At 41.7% G+C, this 15,287-nt stretch overlaps 3 annotated features.

The window, feature by feature from the left end:
* Positions 10,430-10,509: an enhancer, noted in NCBI's record as "active region_22027". NCBI's record gives its function as "activates an Ori minimal core promoter by ATAC-STARR-seq in GM12878 lymphoblastoid cells {active_cell/tissue: GM12878}" and the evidence as "EXISTENCE:reporter gene assay evidence [ECO:0000049][PMID:35858748]".
* Positions 10,630-10,679: an enhancer, noted in NCBI's record as "active region_22026". NCBI's record gives its function as "activates an Ori minimal core promoter by ATAC-STARR-seq in GM12878 lymphoblastoid cells {active_cell/tissue: GM12878}" and the evidence as "EXISTENCE:reporter gene assay evidence [ECO:0000049][PMID:35858748]".
* Positions 14,749-14,828: a silencer, noted in NCBI's record as "silent region_15749". NCBI's record gives its function as "represses an Ori minimal core promoter by ATAC-STARR-seq in GM12878 lymphoblastoid cells {active_cell/tissue: GM12878}" and the evidence as "EXISTENCE:reporter gene assay evidence [ECO:0000049][PMID:35858748]".

Genomic DNA, 15,287 nt, shown 5'->3' with positions numbered 1-15,287 from the left:
AAACACAAAAGATGGCCAGGCACAGTGGCTCATGCCTGTAATCCCAGCACTTTGGGAGGACGAGACAGATGGATCACCTGAGGCCAGGAGTTCAAGACCAGCCTGGCCAACATGGTAAAACCCTGTCTCTACGAAAAATACAAAAACTAGTCGGATGTGGTGGTGGGTGCCTGTAATCCCAGCTGCTCAGGAGGCTGAGGCAGGAGAATCACCTGAATCTGGGAGATGGAGTTTGCAGTGAGCCGAGGTTGTGCCACGCACTCCAGCCTGGGTGACAGGGTGAGACTCCATCTCAAAACAAACAAACAAACAAAACAAACAAACAAAAACCCACAAAAGGTAAGTGCTGGCAAGGGTGTGGAGAAAAAAGGATCCCTTGCACACTGTTGGTGGGAATGTAAATTAGTACAACCACTACAGAAAACAGTATGGAGGTTCTTCAAAACATTAAAAATAGAACTACCATATGATCCAACAATCTCACTACTGGGTATAAATCCAAAGGAAATTAAATGAGTACGTCAAAGAGATATCTACACTCCCATATACATTGCAGCATTATTCACAATAGCCAAAGGAGTTCAAGACCAGCCTGGCCAAGCCAAAATCCGGAATCAACCTGAAATACTATACAGCCTTAAAGAAGGAGGAAATCCTGTCATTTGCAACAACATGGGTAAACCTGGAGGACATTATGTTAAGTGAAATAAGTCAGATACAGGAAAACAAATACTGCATGATCTCACATGTGGAACCTAAAAACGTTGAACTGGTAGAAGTAAAGAGTGGAATGTTGGTTACCAGGGGCTGGGGAGGTGGGGATAGGGGTTGGTGGGGAGATATTATTGAAAGGATACAAAATATCAATTAGATAGGAGGAATAAGTAAAAGAGATTCATTGTACAACATGGTGACTATAGTTAGTAACAGTGTGTTGTATTCTTGAAAATCCCTAAGAGAATACATTTTAAATGTTCTCACCACAAGAAATAAGTATGTGAGGTAATGCATACATTAATTAACTGGATTTAGCCATTCCACAATGTATACCTATTTCAAAACATATTATACACAATAAATACATATATTTTTACTTGTCGATTAAAAAATTAATTAATTAGTAAGGTGAAAAAGACAACTACATAAAAAACATGTATATAATATTGTCTTATTTCCAATCGCAAGGCAAGTGAAAATTTTCAACAGAGGAAAAATGACCAGCTAGAGTTTTCATATCTGAAATTGGTGATAATAATCATTTAGGTTTGTTGTGAGAAATAAACTAGTTTATGTAAGTAAAACACATAAAACCGTCCCTGGCGCACAGAAATAAATGTTATCTATTAAGTTTATTATGACTAACAGCAAGACACATCAGACCAAAAGATATTTCTATAATGTGTGCCCTGTTTTCCCCAAATTTCATTAGGATTTTAAAAAGCCTCACACACTACATTTTCATCTGTTTTGTTTCTTGGAGACTTGATGTGTGATTATCTGATTTTGTCTTTTCTACATTTTCTGACTATACTGTTTATATTCCTGTTTCATTTCAGTTTTATGTTGCTGATGTTTTAGTTTATATCTGCCTGTTAGTGCAGGCAAATTTTTAGGTATCATGTTCTGCTCTTAGAGGTAAAAATAAAAAAGTGTGCTATCCACCAGAAAAAAATCAAAATAATTAGTAATTTTTCTTATTGCAATTAACAGGTTTATAGTTATTTGCCTTAGCATTTATGCCTAAGAGAAGGACCATTTATGATATTTTAACACTCATCTGGTACAGCATCACCAACCAACCAGAGCAGACAGAACTGCACAGAATGGGCACTGGCCTTAAATCCCAGTAAGCCTCTCTCTGTCTTGTTTCCCAGCTGAAGATCAGTCCTGACAAAAAGAATTTGAGAAGAGAAAAATGGACTTTTCTTTCTTCTTAGGGGTTTTAGATAGACTTTCTTTTCCCCTACCCAGAATAACTCCATTGTCAATTATTTCTTCCGAAATAGTCACAGGAATTGGAAATCACTAATAATGAAGTAGTGATTGCCATTTCTAAATTTTCAGATATTCTACCTTCTGGTATTATTTAGTTCCCTGCCACATTTCCATGGAAGTGAGAGATAATCAAGCCAGTGGCACGCATATTGGCTCAGAGAGGGACAGAAAAAATAAAATAAAATAAAATAATCAGAAAGCAGGATTCTCAGAAATTAAAAAAATATGATTGCAAAGTTTATATAAATAATGGAATAAAAAGCTGAGGAAAATCTTCCAGAACATAGAGGAAAAAGAGAAAAAATGTCAAAATTATTAAGAAAACAGGCACAAAAGACCAATCTTGGCACTGACTTTGAGGAACTGGCATCTGACTTTTGGGAGTACAAAACAGAGAACAATGAAAACCAAAGGGAATGTAATCAAGGAAATAATAGAAGAAAAGTCTCAGAACTTTCAAAATACAAGGGCTGCCAAATTCCCAGCAAGAAAAAAAAAAGAAACAGTTCTTCTGCTAAGACACCCTCACTGTGGAATTTCAGAACACCAGGAATCAGAAGATTCTAAGAGGTTCTAAAGAGAAAAAAGTAAGTCCCCTGCAAAGGAAAGAGAATCGAAGTGGTATCAGATTTCTAATTCACAATGCACAGGTGCCAAAATGCAGTACAATGAAGTCTTTAAAAAAAAATTTTTAAAGCAAATTATTTTAAACTAGAATTCTATATCAAACTAAACAACAATTTAAGTGTGAGTGCACAATAAAGACAGTTTCAGATAGTCAAGAATGAAGTTTGCCCCTATATACCCTTTCTAAGGAAGTTACTCGAATGGATCAACCCCAGAAAAACTAAGGCAAAATCCCAGACAATGGAAGATTTAAAAATAAAAATAAAAGAAATAATATAATTCATCCCGGAAATTCCTGGTTGCCTGTTGTCAGTTGACCTAGCAAGCAATTAGTCTGAATTAAAACAGAATGTCAGTGGAATCCAAGAAGAATGAAATGAATTCCCAGGGCTACAAAGAATGAGTCAAAGCTGAATGTGATAATGAAATAGATGTCTCTTCTATCAATAAAAACAACAACAAAACAATCAGAAATTTCAGGAAAAACAAAAAAGTGTACAAATAAGTCAGTCCAAATAGAAACTAAACTAAAATGTGGCATTTTTCTGAGCAATGGATGAGTAGGGGAAAGAAGACTATTTGTTCCTGATGCTAGAAACATTTTGCACTGGGGTCATAACATTGGAACTATGGAGAAGAAATGTAATCACGGCACATTGCTTAGCTCTGTAATTAACAATATTTACAAAGTCATAACGTAACCACTGTTTTCTGGTTTTCAATTTTTAGAATCAACCTATAAACAAAGCAGGGGAAACTTAATTGTGGTTACAGAGTATCTAGAATTTGGGAGGTAGGAGAGTAGAGAGGTAGAGGAAAAACACATTATGCTTCTATCTTCATCTTACAAAATGAGGAACCAAAGGTATCAGTGACTGTTGATGAAACAACAATTAGAGGTTTGTCTACAGTTACAACTGTAACTCAGAAACTAAAATAGTTAGAATTTTCAAAACTTGCAAGGGAGTGGGGGACATGAATTAAAACTTTATCTACCCTAGAAGGAAGTGGGTAGATAATGTCTACAGAGGTTGTTGATCAAGACATAGCCAATATAAACATACCATTTGGAGATGGAGTAAGAAACCACAAGTGCTAAAAACAGAAACGGTTTAAAGGCTGCCTTCTGTGGGAAGCAAAATAAGGATGGGGAGACGAGGAGCAAGGAGACTGTTTCTTTACATTATGAAACTTCTGGATGATTTGACATTTTAATCAGGTGCATGAAGCATTCTGATAAAATTTAAATTTAAGTCTTAGAAACCCATTTCACAGCCATGTAAATAGAAAAGTTGGTCACAAAATAAATGACATATTCATAATAAAGTGAGAGAAAGTAGGGGCTCAGATAGGTGAGGTGAATCATCCCAGCTCACACTGGCCTGAGGCTGGTAAGGGGCAGACTTGGAATTTGAACCCAGTTCTTCCAAGACTGAGTGCAGTGCCTGATTCACAGAGCCTTGGAAAGGGTCAAGGAGACCCAAGTGAGAAAGTGTGTTGTGAGCTGTGGAGCACAGTGCAAAGGTTGAGCACTATTTCAATTATTCCATCTGCCTGTACTCACCAGTTACCTACAAGTACTTAGTCTCTTCACTCCGGTTTGAGATTTTGTTGGGGTCCAACTGTTGTCAGTTGACCTAGCAAGCAGTTAGTCTGAATTAAAACAGAATATCAATGGAATCCAAGAAGAATGGAATGAATTCCCAGGAGTATGAAAAATGAGTAAAAGCTGAATGTAATAATGAAGGTATTTGTCTCTTCCATCAACAAAAACAACAATGAAGTAATCAGAAACTCCAGGAAAAACAAAAAAAATATATACAAATAAGTCATACCCTAAATAGAAACTAAACTAAAATGTGGCATTTTTCTGAGCAAACATAAATAGCCCACGTGACTGGCAAATGTGCCCTTTACATGTTTGAAATGTCCTAGGGGGTGGTCTGTAAAAAATGCATTGTAGCCGGGTGCGGTGGCTCACGCCTGTAATCCCAACACAGGGAGGCCGAGGCAGGTGGGTCACGAGGTTAGAAGATCGAGACCATCCTGGCTAACATGGTGAAGCCCCATCTCTACTAAAAATAAAAAAATGAGCTGGGCGTTGTGGCAGGCGCCTGTAGTCCCAGCTACTCAGGAGTCTGAGGCAGGAGAATAGCCTGAACCCCGGAGGTGGAGCTTGCAGTGAGCTGAGATCGCACCACTGCACGCCAGCCTGGGCGACAACGCGAGACTCCGTCTCAAAAAGAGAAAAAAAAATTCATTGTAAATGCAACAGCATTTATAATTAGTATGAGGCATCTCCTGTGAAAAGGAAAGAAGTCAAACCTTCTGCAAAGTGAACAGTCTTTTTGCAATAGAAGCACTCAGCTCCAGTGTATCCAGGTGCACACGTGCTTCCACCATGTTTTCTGAAGCATCTCGTTCACCCTCCGATGGGCAAATGAAATGGACCAGTGCTGTCTCAAAGCCTCCCTCCTGCCTTCTCCTTGACTTGTCTGGCTTACCCTCCTTTGCTTGGCTACCTTAAGACTTCAGCTGCTGGTATTTTGGGGGCTGATTTCTGTCCACTTGCCTAGGTTAGTGATCTAGTCCCAGTACCTTTCCAGAACTATTCACTCCTTAACAGTGATGTGTGCCCACTGAGCTAACCACTGCAGCTCTATGACAAAGACACCATCTCTCTGCCCTCCAGGGATTTAGAGTGGAAGGGAGGTATTGCCAACAGTGCAAGGACCTTCCTTTTCTACACATCTGCTCCAGGTAGGGGACTGAACTGCCCCAACTTCAGTCCTGGGCCTCACAGACTCAACCTCCTTTTTCCCTCCTCCTCCTGGAAGGAACTGGCAGAGGAAAGCCGACTTTGAGTTTCTCATCTGCCCTTAGATGTTTTGCCTATTAAAGGTGATGGTTCTCATTGTGGACCCAGCTTCTTATCGGAATTCATGGATCCCTGGTTATGCACGAAGGATTAGAATATTGCAAACTTCTACTTCCAAGGAGGGGCTTGACAGAAAGCCTCAAATACTATAATCTGGAAACATAAATCAAATACGTACAGCCATTTACATAGCTAGGAGGCCATTAGGGAAGAAACACATATTTTCCTCTGGGATGTAACATGCAATCACCTAGGTGAGCACTGAGAGATAAAATACAGACTGACAATGTTTAAGTTCAGAGGTACAGGGTACAGAGGCAAAGAGGCCCTTGCTGCCTCCTCTTCCCAACTATTGACAGAGCTTGATGTAGTTTTGAATGTTGGGCTTGATTTAGATCAAATCAGCCTGGAGGTAAGCAAACTTTGCCCACTGGTGGGGAGATAGACTGAACTGGTCAGACCACTTATCTGCGGTCATAAGTGGTTGGGTATGTTGGCGACTGTGGTGGAAAAGGCTGTCCCAGCCTTCACTTGGTGTTGATGTGAGTCCTGAGCAGGGAATCAGTTTTCTTTAAGATCTCCCTTGAGAAGCCCTGCAAGTTGCCACGAGAGCCAGTGGAAAATGAGGAATATTCTGGTTAAGGGTCACCAGTCCTCCAGGAGGCTATAGAGTTTGCAGGATACTGGGTGCCCATATGTGCAAAGCATCTACAATTCTAGACTGAATAATGAACTCATGCATATACAAACTATCATTTTCCACATGTATATATAGATGCTGTTATGATTACTAATATACAAATAATGTTAAAGCATTACTCAATTGACAGTAACACTTTATGTGGTTTCTAAAAGAACATTAAAAATACAGCCATATGTATGCCTGCAGTCCCACCTACTTGGGAGGCTGAGGCAGAAGAATCACTTCAGCCCAGGATTTCAAGGCTGCAATGAGTTACATTCGTGCCACTGCACTCCAGTCTGGGTGACAGAGTGAGACCCTATCATTTAAAAAAGAAAAAGAAAGAAAGAAAATCAAACAAACAAACATAAAAGAGCCCTAAGTCTTTTCTCTGCTCCCTCAGCTCCTAATCAGGCTTCCATAGATCCCTGCTTCCCTTCAGAGTACTTAACGCAATTTATGATTGTATTTCTGTGTGCATGACTGTTTGTTTCATGTTTGTCTCTCCCACTAGACTATAACCTTCATGAGGGCAAGAACTGCTTCTGTTTTTCTCATAAATTATATACCCAACCTTTAGACACATGACTCATACATAGTAAGTGCTCAGTAAATATTTGTTAAGCAAATGAATGAGGTGGTGAGATTGAGGGAGGGTGTCCAAGAAGTTTTTTGATAGTTAAAAAGTTTGAGGCAATATTATTTTATAAATATAACTGAGATCCAGAAAAGCCAAGAGACTAATCAAAGAGACATGTTGGTTCATTACAAATATGGGAGCAATCCCAGCTCAGTGTTCTTTTCAACATTATTGTCAATGTCTAATAACATTTTTTTTGAGCCTATACATATGTAACGTGGTGCTAGGGTAAGATGGTGAAACCCTGTCTCTACTAAAAATACAAAAAAATTAGCCAGGCATGGTGATGCGCGCCTGTAGTCCCAGCTACTCTGGAGGCTGAGGCAGGAGAATCACTTGAAGCCGGGAGGTGGAGGTTGCAGGGAGCCAAGATCGCGCCACTGCACTCCAGCCTGGGTGATAGAGTGAGACTCTATCTCAAAAAAAAAAAAAAAAACAGTGAGTGTCTGGTGGCTATATTATGCAGCATCTTGTATATTGATTGACACTTTCTTTGAATGATTTACTATAAACTATATACTTAGCTCTCTGGGGTGTATAATGGTGTCAATTGCAAACAACAGGTTACTAAAAAGAGGAAAATCTATTTTCTGCAGCCCTCTCCCCACTCCATATGCCTCTAGTCCCTTCCTGAACCTTAAGTTAGACAGTGCTATGTATGAAATGCCAGTGACTGGGGAGAACAGTTCTAGGTGCTGTGGGGGAAATACACAGGACTTAACAGGCACAGTATCCACTTTAGAGGCAAAACCAAGAAAGTCTACATTTATTTTCCTCTGTAGCTAGAATTCTTTCTCTCCAATGATCTGTTTTAGGCATTTGGCAGCTGCAGAGTTGACCTGCAAATAAATTCAACTACATTCACAGTTCCTAAAAATGACTGTGACCAGTTTACTCACATAGGTGAGAAGAAAATATTTTCAGAGAGAGCAAAGGTACATAGCAAAAAGCTGCATAAAATAAGGAGAAAAGGCTTGAGATTGTATAAATCCAACCCCAATTCTTGGCTATTACAAAGCTACAGTCACTGGGTTAGGAAGGAAAATCTCAACACGCAGCCTCCATGGGACACTGCCAGCAGCCTGTGGGGCACAGCCCTGCCCTTCTCTAGTGATTGCCCATTGCCATTGCTTGACAAGTAATATTTAAAAACTCTAATGCTACTCTCAATCAACTGGGACTTTCGGTGCTGGAGGTCCCAGCTGGAAAATAGGGTGACCATATTTCAACCAGAAAAAAACATGTTTTAAATAAAATTTCCTCTTCCTTTGTTTGTTAACAGCAACAGGACCCCTAAAAGGGCTTTTCTCAGGTCACTTAGTTTAGCGTACTTGGAGAAAGCCTCGGGAAAGGGAGTGGTATCAGTAATTGGGCTGCTTGTGAGGGTGAATGTCTTGCTTACCTGGCTATGGGCTGCAATAATTCGTCTTTCTGAAAGGGCATTCAGCCTTATCTCCCTCTGCTCTGTGCCAGAAGCTGTACTGGTCATTTTACCTGTGACAATCCATTTATTCTACCCAGCCATCCAGTGAGAGACTTACCATTCTTTTCGTCTTGCAGATTTAAGAATAAACAGTTTCAAAAATGCTAAAGTTCCTCACCCAAGGTCACACAGCTAGTACAGAGTGGAGGCAAGACTTGAAGCCATAATCTTATCCAGTATTACAAAGCTAAGGTCTACTCACAGGCAAGAATTGTGTGTACATCTAGAGAGAAGCCCTCCTATCCACCATGACAAGGTAGCACTGTAACAGATGTTGGGGGGCACATGAGCTTCTCACTGAGGAGCCCAGGGGGTGCTCTTCCAGGCAGAGCCCTGCCTTGGTTCTTCTGCAGGAGAAAGCAGATCCGTGACAGACACACAAGGTCCACTCTTCAGACCTTTCTGTGGAGCTGCAATATGTTCTGTTGCATGTTTCCCGAATTATTTGTAACAGGCAGCTGCAGTAGGTCAGAATCTCAGAGGTGTTTCTGAGATTCCAGACAGGGTGGGGGCTGCCACCCTGCTCTCTGGATGGGAATAATACAATTTACAAATGTGGAGCATCTGGGGAATTTAGGAGCTAAAAAGAGGAGCTTCTGGAGGGAAGTGGCTAAGATTCTTGGGCCTTCATGGTGTCAGGGAACAGTTTCAAGGATGTTTTACTTTTGCCATTGAGCTAATCATAAAGCAGCCATCTATTGACAGTTATTGTAGGCTCCAGGTACTGTGCGAAGGACCCTTGACGGGTATTAAACTCATACATTCCATCAGTTCCAGTGGCATTCAATCATGAGCCATTTAATCATGGCTCAACCATGCTGAGAGCTAGGGATCAGCAGCCACATTTTACAGATGAGGAAATGGAGGCTCCAGGATAATAACTTGCCCAAGTTTTCATAGCTTTAAGACCAAGTGAGGATTCAGACCCAGGCTATTTGAAGCAAACTTCATGTTTTTAACAACAACAATATGCTGCCTCTAATGAATTTATTCAGACGCTAATAAATATAGTAGACAGGCTTTTCTCCACCCTATACCCTACCCACCAAATGTTTGGCCAATTAAAATAGTTGAGTTCACTTATAAGGGGAACGGGAAAACAGCATTTGGGCTTGTCCCAGTTACATGAATTAATTCTGTCTTGGGGTTCTGATGGCAGCATAAACCAAAGAGCCCAGAATCCCATGATGAAATTATATCGTTAAAGCCCTTGGCGGCTTAGCTATTATTTTATGTAAAATATATGCATAGCTTCTGAGAATCCCTTTCCACCAGCAAACAGAATGAAAAATATATATATATATATATATACATTACTAATGACAGGATTCTCGGCTATCATGCCGTTATTTACGTGACATTATTGATAGGAATGTTGCTTGTTTGGAATCTGGAAGGTAAACAGAGTTTCAAATTTCAATCCTCTGTTGTGGAAAATAATAACCTTGGTGCATGGCCATGCAAATTAAGGAACTCTGAAACCTCAAGCCTCCAATCACAGCACTCCAGACACCAACATTCCAAACACGTCTGTCTCTCCAAAGAGAGCCAGGTTCATGCCACAGAATCTTTCCAGAGCCAGCATCAAAGGCTGTGTCAGGCTCAGTATTTGGGACCTCTCCTTGCAGCCGCAGTCCCAACGTGGGGTGGGGTCAGCGAGGGCAAATAACTAAATAGTTTTCTCCAAAACGCCATAGTTGGAATTCCCTCTCCTGGCCCGGGCTCCTTGCGTCCCCTCCCCGGCTGCCACACATTTCCTAGCGTCGCGGAGTCCTCTGGGCCCAGCGCCTGGCGGGCCTCACCCGACCCACCTGCTGCGCACGGCGTTGCCCAGCCCAGGCATTAAAGAACTTTCCTGCCGCAGAGAACCGAGCCCGAGACACGCCCTGGCTATCTATAGAAAATCCCTTTGGGGGTTCTGCTGACAAGTCACTCGAGATCCCTCCTTGGGCCTCATTATGTCACAGGAACCCTGGCTGGAATGCGGAGGATTAAATTCCTAACCCCTCCCTGTCGGCTGGGCCCGGAGGGAGGGAAGCCAGGAGCTCAGCGCCCACCTGGGCTCTCAGGCGCCCCCTATTGAACGTTCCTGTCCCTCTGGCCCCGACGGCTGCAGCGGCTCCGCGCGGGAGTCCAAGCCTGCTAAAGCCCTGGGGCTGCAGGCAGCAGGGAGGACCGAGGTCCCAAGGCCCTGTGCATTCTTACAGCATCCCGGGGACACGGAAGGGAGAGTGAGAACACAGACTTGATCCTCAGGCCGGCTCTAAATCCAGCTCCCCACGTGGATTTGGGCAAGTCGCTAATCCCTCTGGGCCGTGGTTTCCTCTCCCTAAGAGCACCTGATACATAAAATCATGAACTTTACTGCTAGAGGGGGAAGCCAGGGAGCGGAAGCTACGGAGGTTGTTGAGTTCTCAGCAGGTGCTGATGCATGGGGGGGTCACGGTCCCATGCTCCCTGAATGAGGACAGTAAAGAGCAGAGAAACACTTCAGATGCGGGCTAATTCTTTGTAAAAGGCCAGGTTACTTAAACCTAACTACCCTCTGTGTCCTTCATCCCTAATATAGGAGTACTAATGCTACCTACCACATAGGTTTGTTGTGACAAAAATGCATAAAGGACTTAATGACACATGAAAGGGTTAATGCACATAGGGGAATTCAAATGGTGCCTGTAAGCCACCTATTATTTTATTATTATCATTATTATTATTATATTACAAAAGAGTCACCTACTACCGTTCTTATTATAAGCCCTAAAGCTTTTGTAAACACAATGCTTTGAAAAGACCATTAATGTTGGTAGCATTTATTGCACGTTTATTACATGCTAGTCATTTTGCTGAGCACTTTTAGAAATCTATTTTATTTCTAAAACAGCCCTGTGCAGTAAGCACTATCACTGCCATCTTTTAGCAGGTGAAGAACCTGAGCTTTTCGTGAGCTGCCCCTGGTCAAAGAGCTGTAAGTGACTGGGCCAGCCACGGTCATTCCCCTTCCATCATGGGGTGCTGGTTCGGGCTGGATTCCACTCTTGCTCTTTGAACTTGCACACGTCCTTGACCTGTCTGTGTCTCATGTGGAGATAAAGGGCAGGTATTATTTTCTTCATGCTATTGTCGTGAAGAAAGTGCTGTGTAAACTGTGACGTTCCCCCCAGAAATGGGAGGACTTTGATCACTACACAGGAAGACAAGTCAAAGGAGAGAATAGAAAGTCACAGTCCCGGGGAGCCTGTGTCTTCCTGGAATTGTCTTGGTCCTCAGAGAAGTAGAAGGAACTAACTACAGGGACATAGGACACATTTGATCTGAGCCAAGAGCCCAGGGAGGCTCTTGTAGACCTGGGGGGGCCACTTGTGCTCTGAAAACTTGCAGGTTCAGAACCCGTCAGATCTCCTTGAGTCTTTCAATGACACACAAATAGACACACACAGACACACACACACACACACTGATGCTGTCAGTAATAATGCATCACCGGACTTCCACCTTAGCAGAGTAAGTGAAACATGTAAACAAATAATAAATTATGTCTGAGCCAATGGGGCGTAGAAGCAGTAACTATAAAATACTGCCCAGGGGGGAGAAAGTGTACTGAGACTGTGACAGAACACCCCAAAGTCATTGCCAACAGCATTATTTCATGACCTGAGTAAGCTGGCAGAGTTGTTACTTCTTGAAAGGAGACTTTGTCTTTTTCCTTTTTCTTAGACATCTGATTTTTATTCTCCTTTAAACAATGCAAATCTTTCCTTCTGAAGGGATCTTGGAAAGCAGATTCCTTCCATTGCTTTAAAGGGAATTCAAGTTGGACAGAGTGAAGGCATTCTGGTGGCAGGGCTGTAAGCAGTGCTGATTTGTCAAGGCGGGCTGTCACACATCATTTCTCTGCAGGCTTGGAGATGCAGTGCAGACCTTGGTTCCTGGATGGAAGAGACACTTCTCATGGTCAAGCCTCCCCGGGCCCCAGGTTGAGAGGTGATGCTGCATAGGGGACGAGAGCAAAGGTCCCCAAAGTGGGGCATCCTCAAGGGCACCACCTCCGAACAACCCACGGGAAGAAAGAAGAGGAAAGAAGGAATTGGAAGGGGAGGGGAGGGGAAGGAAAGGGTGAGGAAGAAAGGAAAGGAAGAAGGAGGAAGGGAAGGAGGAAGAAACGAAAGATTAAAACTCTTTATATTTACTGTAATATCATCATTACAAAACCATTTTTTTGTTAAAAGTTTAAATGTATATAAAAGTAGAACCATATAATGAACCTCCCATATACCCATGTTCCCACCATTCAACTTCAAAAATTACCAACTCCAAGGCCAGTCTTATTTCCCCTATTTACCCACCTACTTGTCCCCCCTGCTCCTTTATTTTGTTATCTAAGACAGCAAACACTAACTCATTACATCTGTAAATATTTCAATATATGGGCCTAAAAAACATGCCCTCTCTTTCTAAAACTTGAACCACAACATCATTATAGTCCAAAAACATCAATAATTAGCCCACAATATAACTGAATATCCAATCAGTGCTCATATTTCCTTGATTTTCCTAAAAATTTTTTTTACAGTTTGAGTTGGGATCCAAACAAAGTCCACACATTGTGATACATAAATATGTCCCTCAGGTCTCTTTTAATCTATTGCTCCCTCTCTCAATCTCTCATTCTCTATTTTTGCAAATTTTTTTTTTTTGGTTGAAAAACTTGGGTTGCTTTTCTTGGTTAATCTACAGGCTAGATTCTGCTGATTATGTTCCCATGGTATCATTTATCATGTGCCTCCATCCCCTGTACTTTCTGTAAATGGGAAATCAAGAGGCTCCATCAGGTTCATATTAAATCTTTCTGACAAGAACATTTTGCAATTGGTGTTATGGACATCTGTTGGGGGAACGTAATGTCTGCTTGTCTCTTTTTTTGTGATAGCAATCATTATCAAATACCTTGTTCACTACCACTTACAAAGTGTGGTGTCCTATGGTATCCTCATTCTATCTATGTGTCTTCACTTATTAGTTGGAATACTTCTTTAAGAGAATCTTCTCATCGTCTATTTGCTAATCCAGGGACACAATTCTTACAGGAAGGGCAGAACAAATGCTTCTTTTTCTTTACCAGTTTTCAAAGTAATTAGTTGGTCATCTAGTATTCTCTAAAAGTGATCACCAAGGTATCTTTTTAGTATCATAATAAGCATATAAATTTGAAAAAAATACACACACACACACACACACACCCCTAAAATGTGGTTTAATCAATCGCAGTTTGCTCAAAATGTCCCATGTTTAGCCAATGGAAACCTCTTCAGGTTGGTTCCCACATCCTTTTGACAGGACCCAATAATAATTGATAGATTCCTGGCTTTCTGTATGACAAAATGTTCCAGGTGCACTTCCCAGACTAAAAATTAGACACTTCTCCCAAGACCTAGTTTCTTTTAGTGAGAGACCACAATCTATATTTAGGGTATTATCCTTTAATTTCTATTTTTTGTAGTTTATGTTTTATAATGCACTTAATATATTAATAATATGGTAAATACATATAAGTTAGAAATGGCAAACAAAGACATATATTTTCTGAAAGGGATGCCCGATACAGAAAGTTTAGAGGCTACTTATTTAGTGCATAGGGCTTGGAAGCATGCTAAAATTATGATCCTGGGCCCTCTTTCTTTCTAGCTGTTTGGTCTTGCTCAGGTTCTTTTTTTTCTCTCTGACCTTCAGTTTCTTCAAGTATACAATTAACGTAGTAATAGCTACTTCATGGAATGTTGTGATGACCAGATAAGATAGATGGATGATTGATAGATAATTGTAACTAGATAAATAGATGACAGATAGATATATACATAGATACATAGATATATACACAGACAGATAGACATATAGATACATACACATCCCAGCCTCACTCAGTAAATGGGAGCGACTCGTAATATATCAACAATGTTGACAGAGCCCTTCTCATACAGAAAGTTCTGTGCCTGCCCTCGAGGAGCTTGCAAACCTCGAGGAATAGAGAAGCATCATGCACAGAAAACACAGGTAGCCTCTGTCTTTCCAAGGTCGTAATGAGCAATATGCCAGGCCAGTCTTTTGAAATTCAGAGGAGAGTGCTCTCTGGAACCTCGAGAGTTCTGGAAGTCTTTGTGAGGATGATGGGACTTTAGCTTGCCCTGAAGTCTGGCCTGGGGAGGTAGGAGTGGGATAGGGCATGCAGGGAGGGGATTTTAGGGTGGGGGAGACGGCCAGATCCTGGAAAAAGAGGAGGCAACAAAGTAGCAGTAAAAAGAGAAGCTACTGCCGAAAACAGTTCCAGGAAAGGAAAGAAGGATTGCTCCGCAGTGTCCAGCCCTCCACAGAGGCAAACAGAGGAAGACAGAGAACAGGCCCCTGATGATTTTAAGAGGACCAATTTTGTCTCAGTAGTAAAGGTAAGATGGACTGTAGCTGGTGGGTGGGGGCGGTGGGGAAGTGAAAGGGCTCTTGGTGGTTGGTTTGTAAAAGAGCAAAGCAACCAAGGCACTGGAAACCTGCAGTGTGACCCAAAAACACACAGGCTACCCGAGCAGGTGGCAGGCATCTCTCCACCAGGAGGGAGACGCTGGAGGAAAATAGAGACTTTTAAAATGGCTTTGATGACCCAAACCCCAGGAACTGTGAAGACTAGGTTGGCAGCAATAAAGCAAACACTAGGAATAAATGAAACAGTGCTTGCCTCTAAAAACCCTGGGGAGACCCTGGCTCCTGTTTTGAGCTGGGCTGTGTCAGGAGCTCACATGTTCAGAAGCTGATTATGTGCTAGGCACTGTGTTGAGCCTTTAAAATACATACTTCCATTTAGTCCTCACAGTCAGCCTCGAAGGTAGAGAAAGTGTTCCCATTTAACAGATGAGGACACTGAGGGTATGGGAAGTCTAGAATTTATTTAAAGTTAAACACAAACTGGAGGTGATATGCAAACTCAGGTCTTTCCTTA

The sequence above is a fragment of the Homo sapiens genome, chromosome 4, assembly GCF_000001405.40.
Source record: "Homo sapiens chromosome 4, GRCh38.p14 Primary Assembly".
Lineage (NCBI taxonomy): Eukaryota > Metazoa > Chordata > Mammalia > Primates > Hominidae > Homo > Homo sapiens.
The sequence above is the reverse complement of the archived record's forward strand: the minus strand, read 5'-3'. Positions and strand labels throughout refer to the sequence as shown.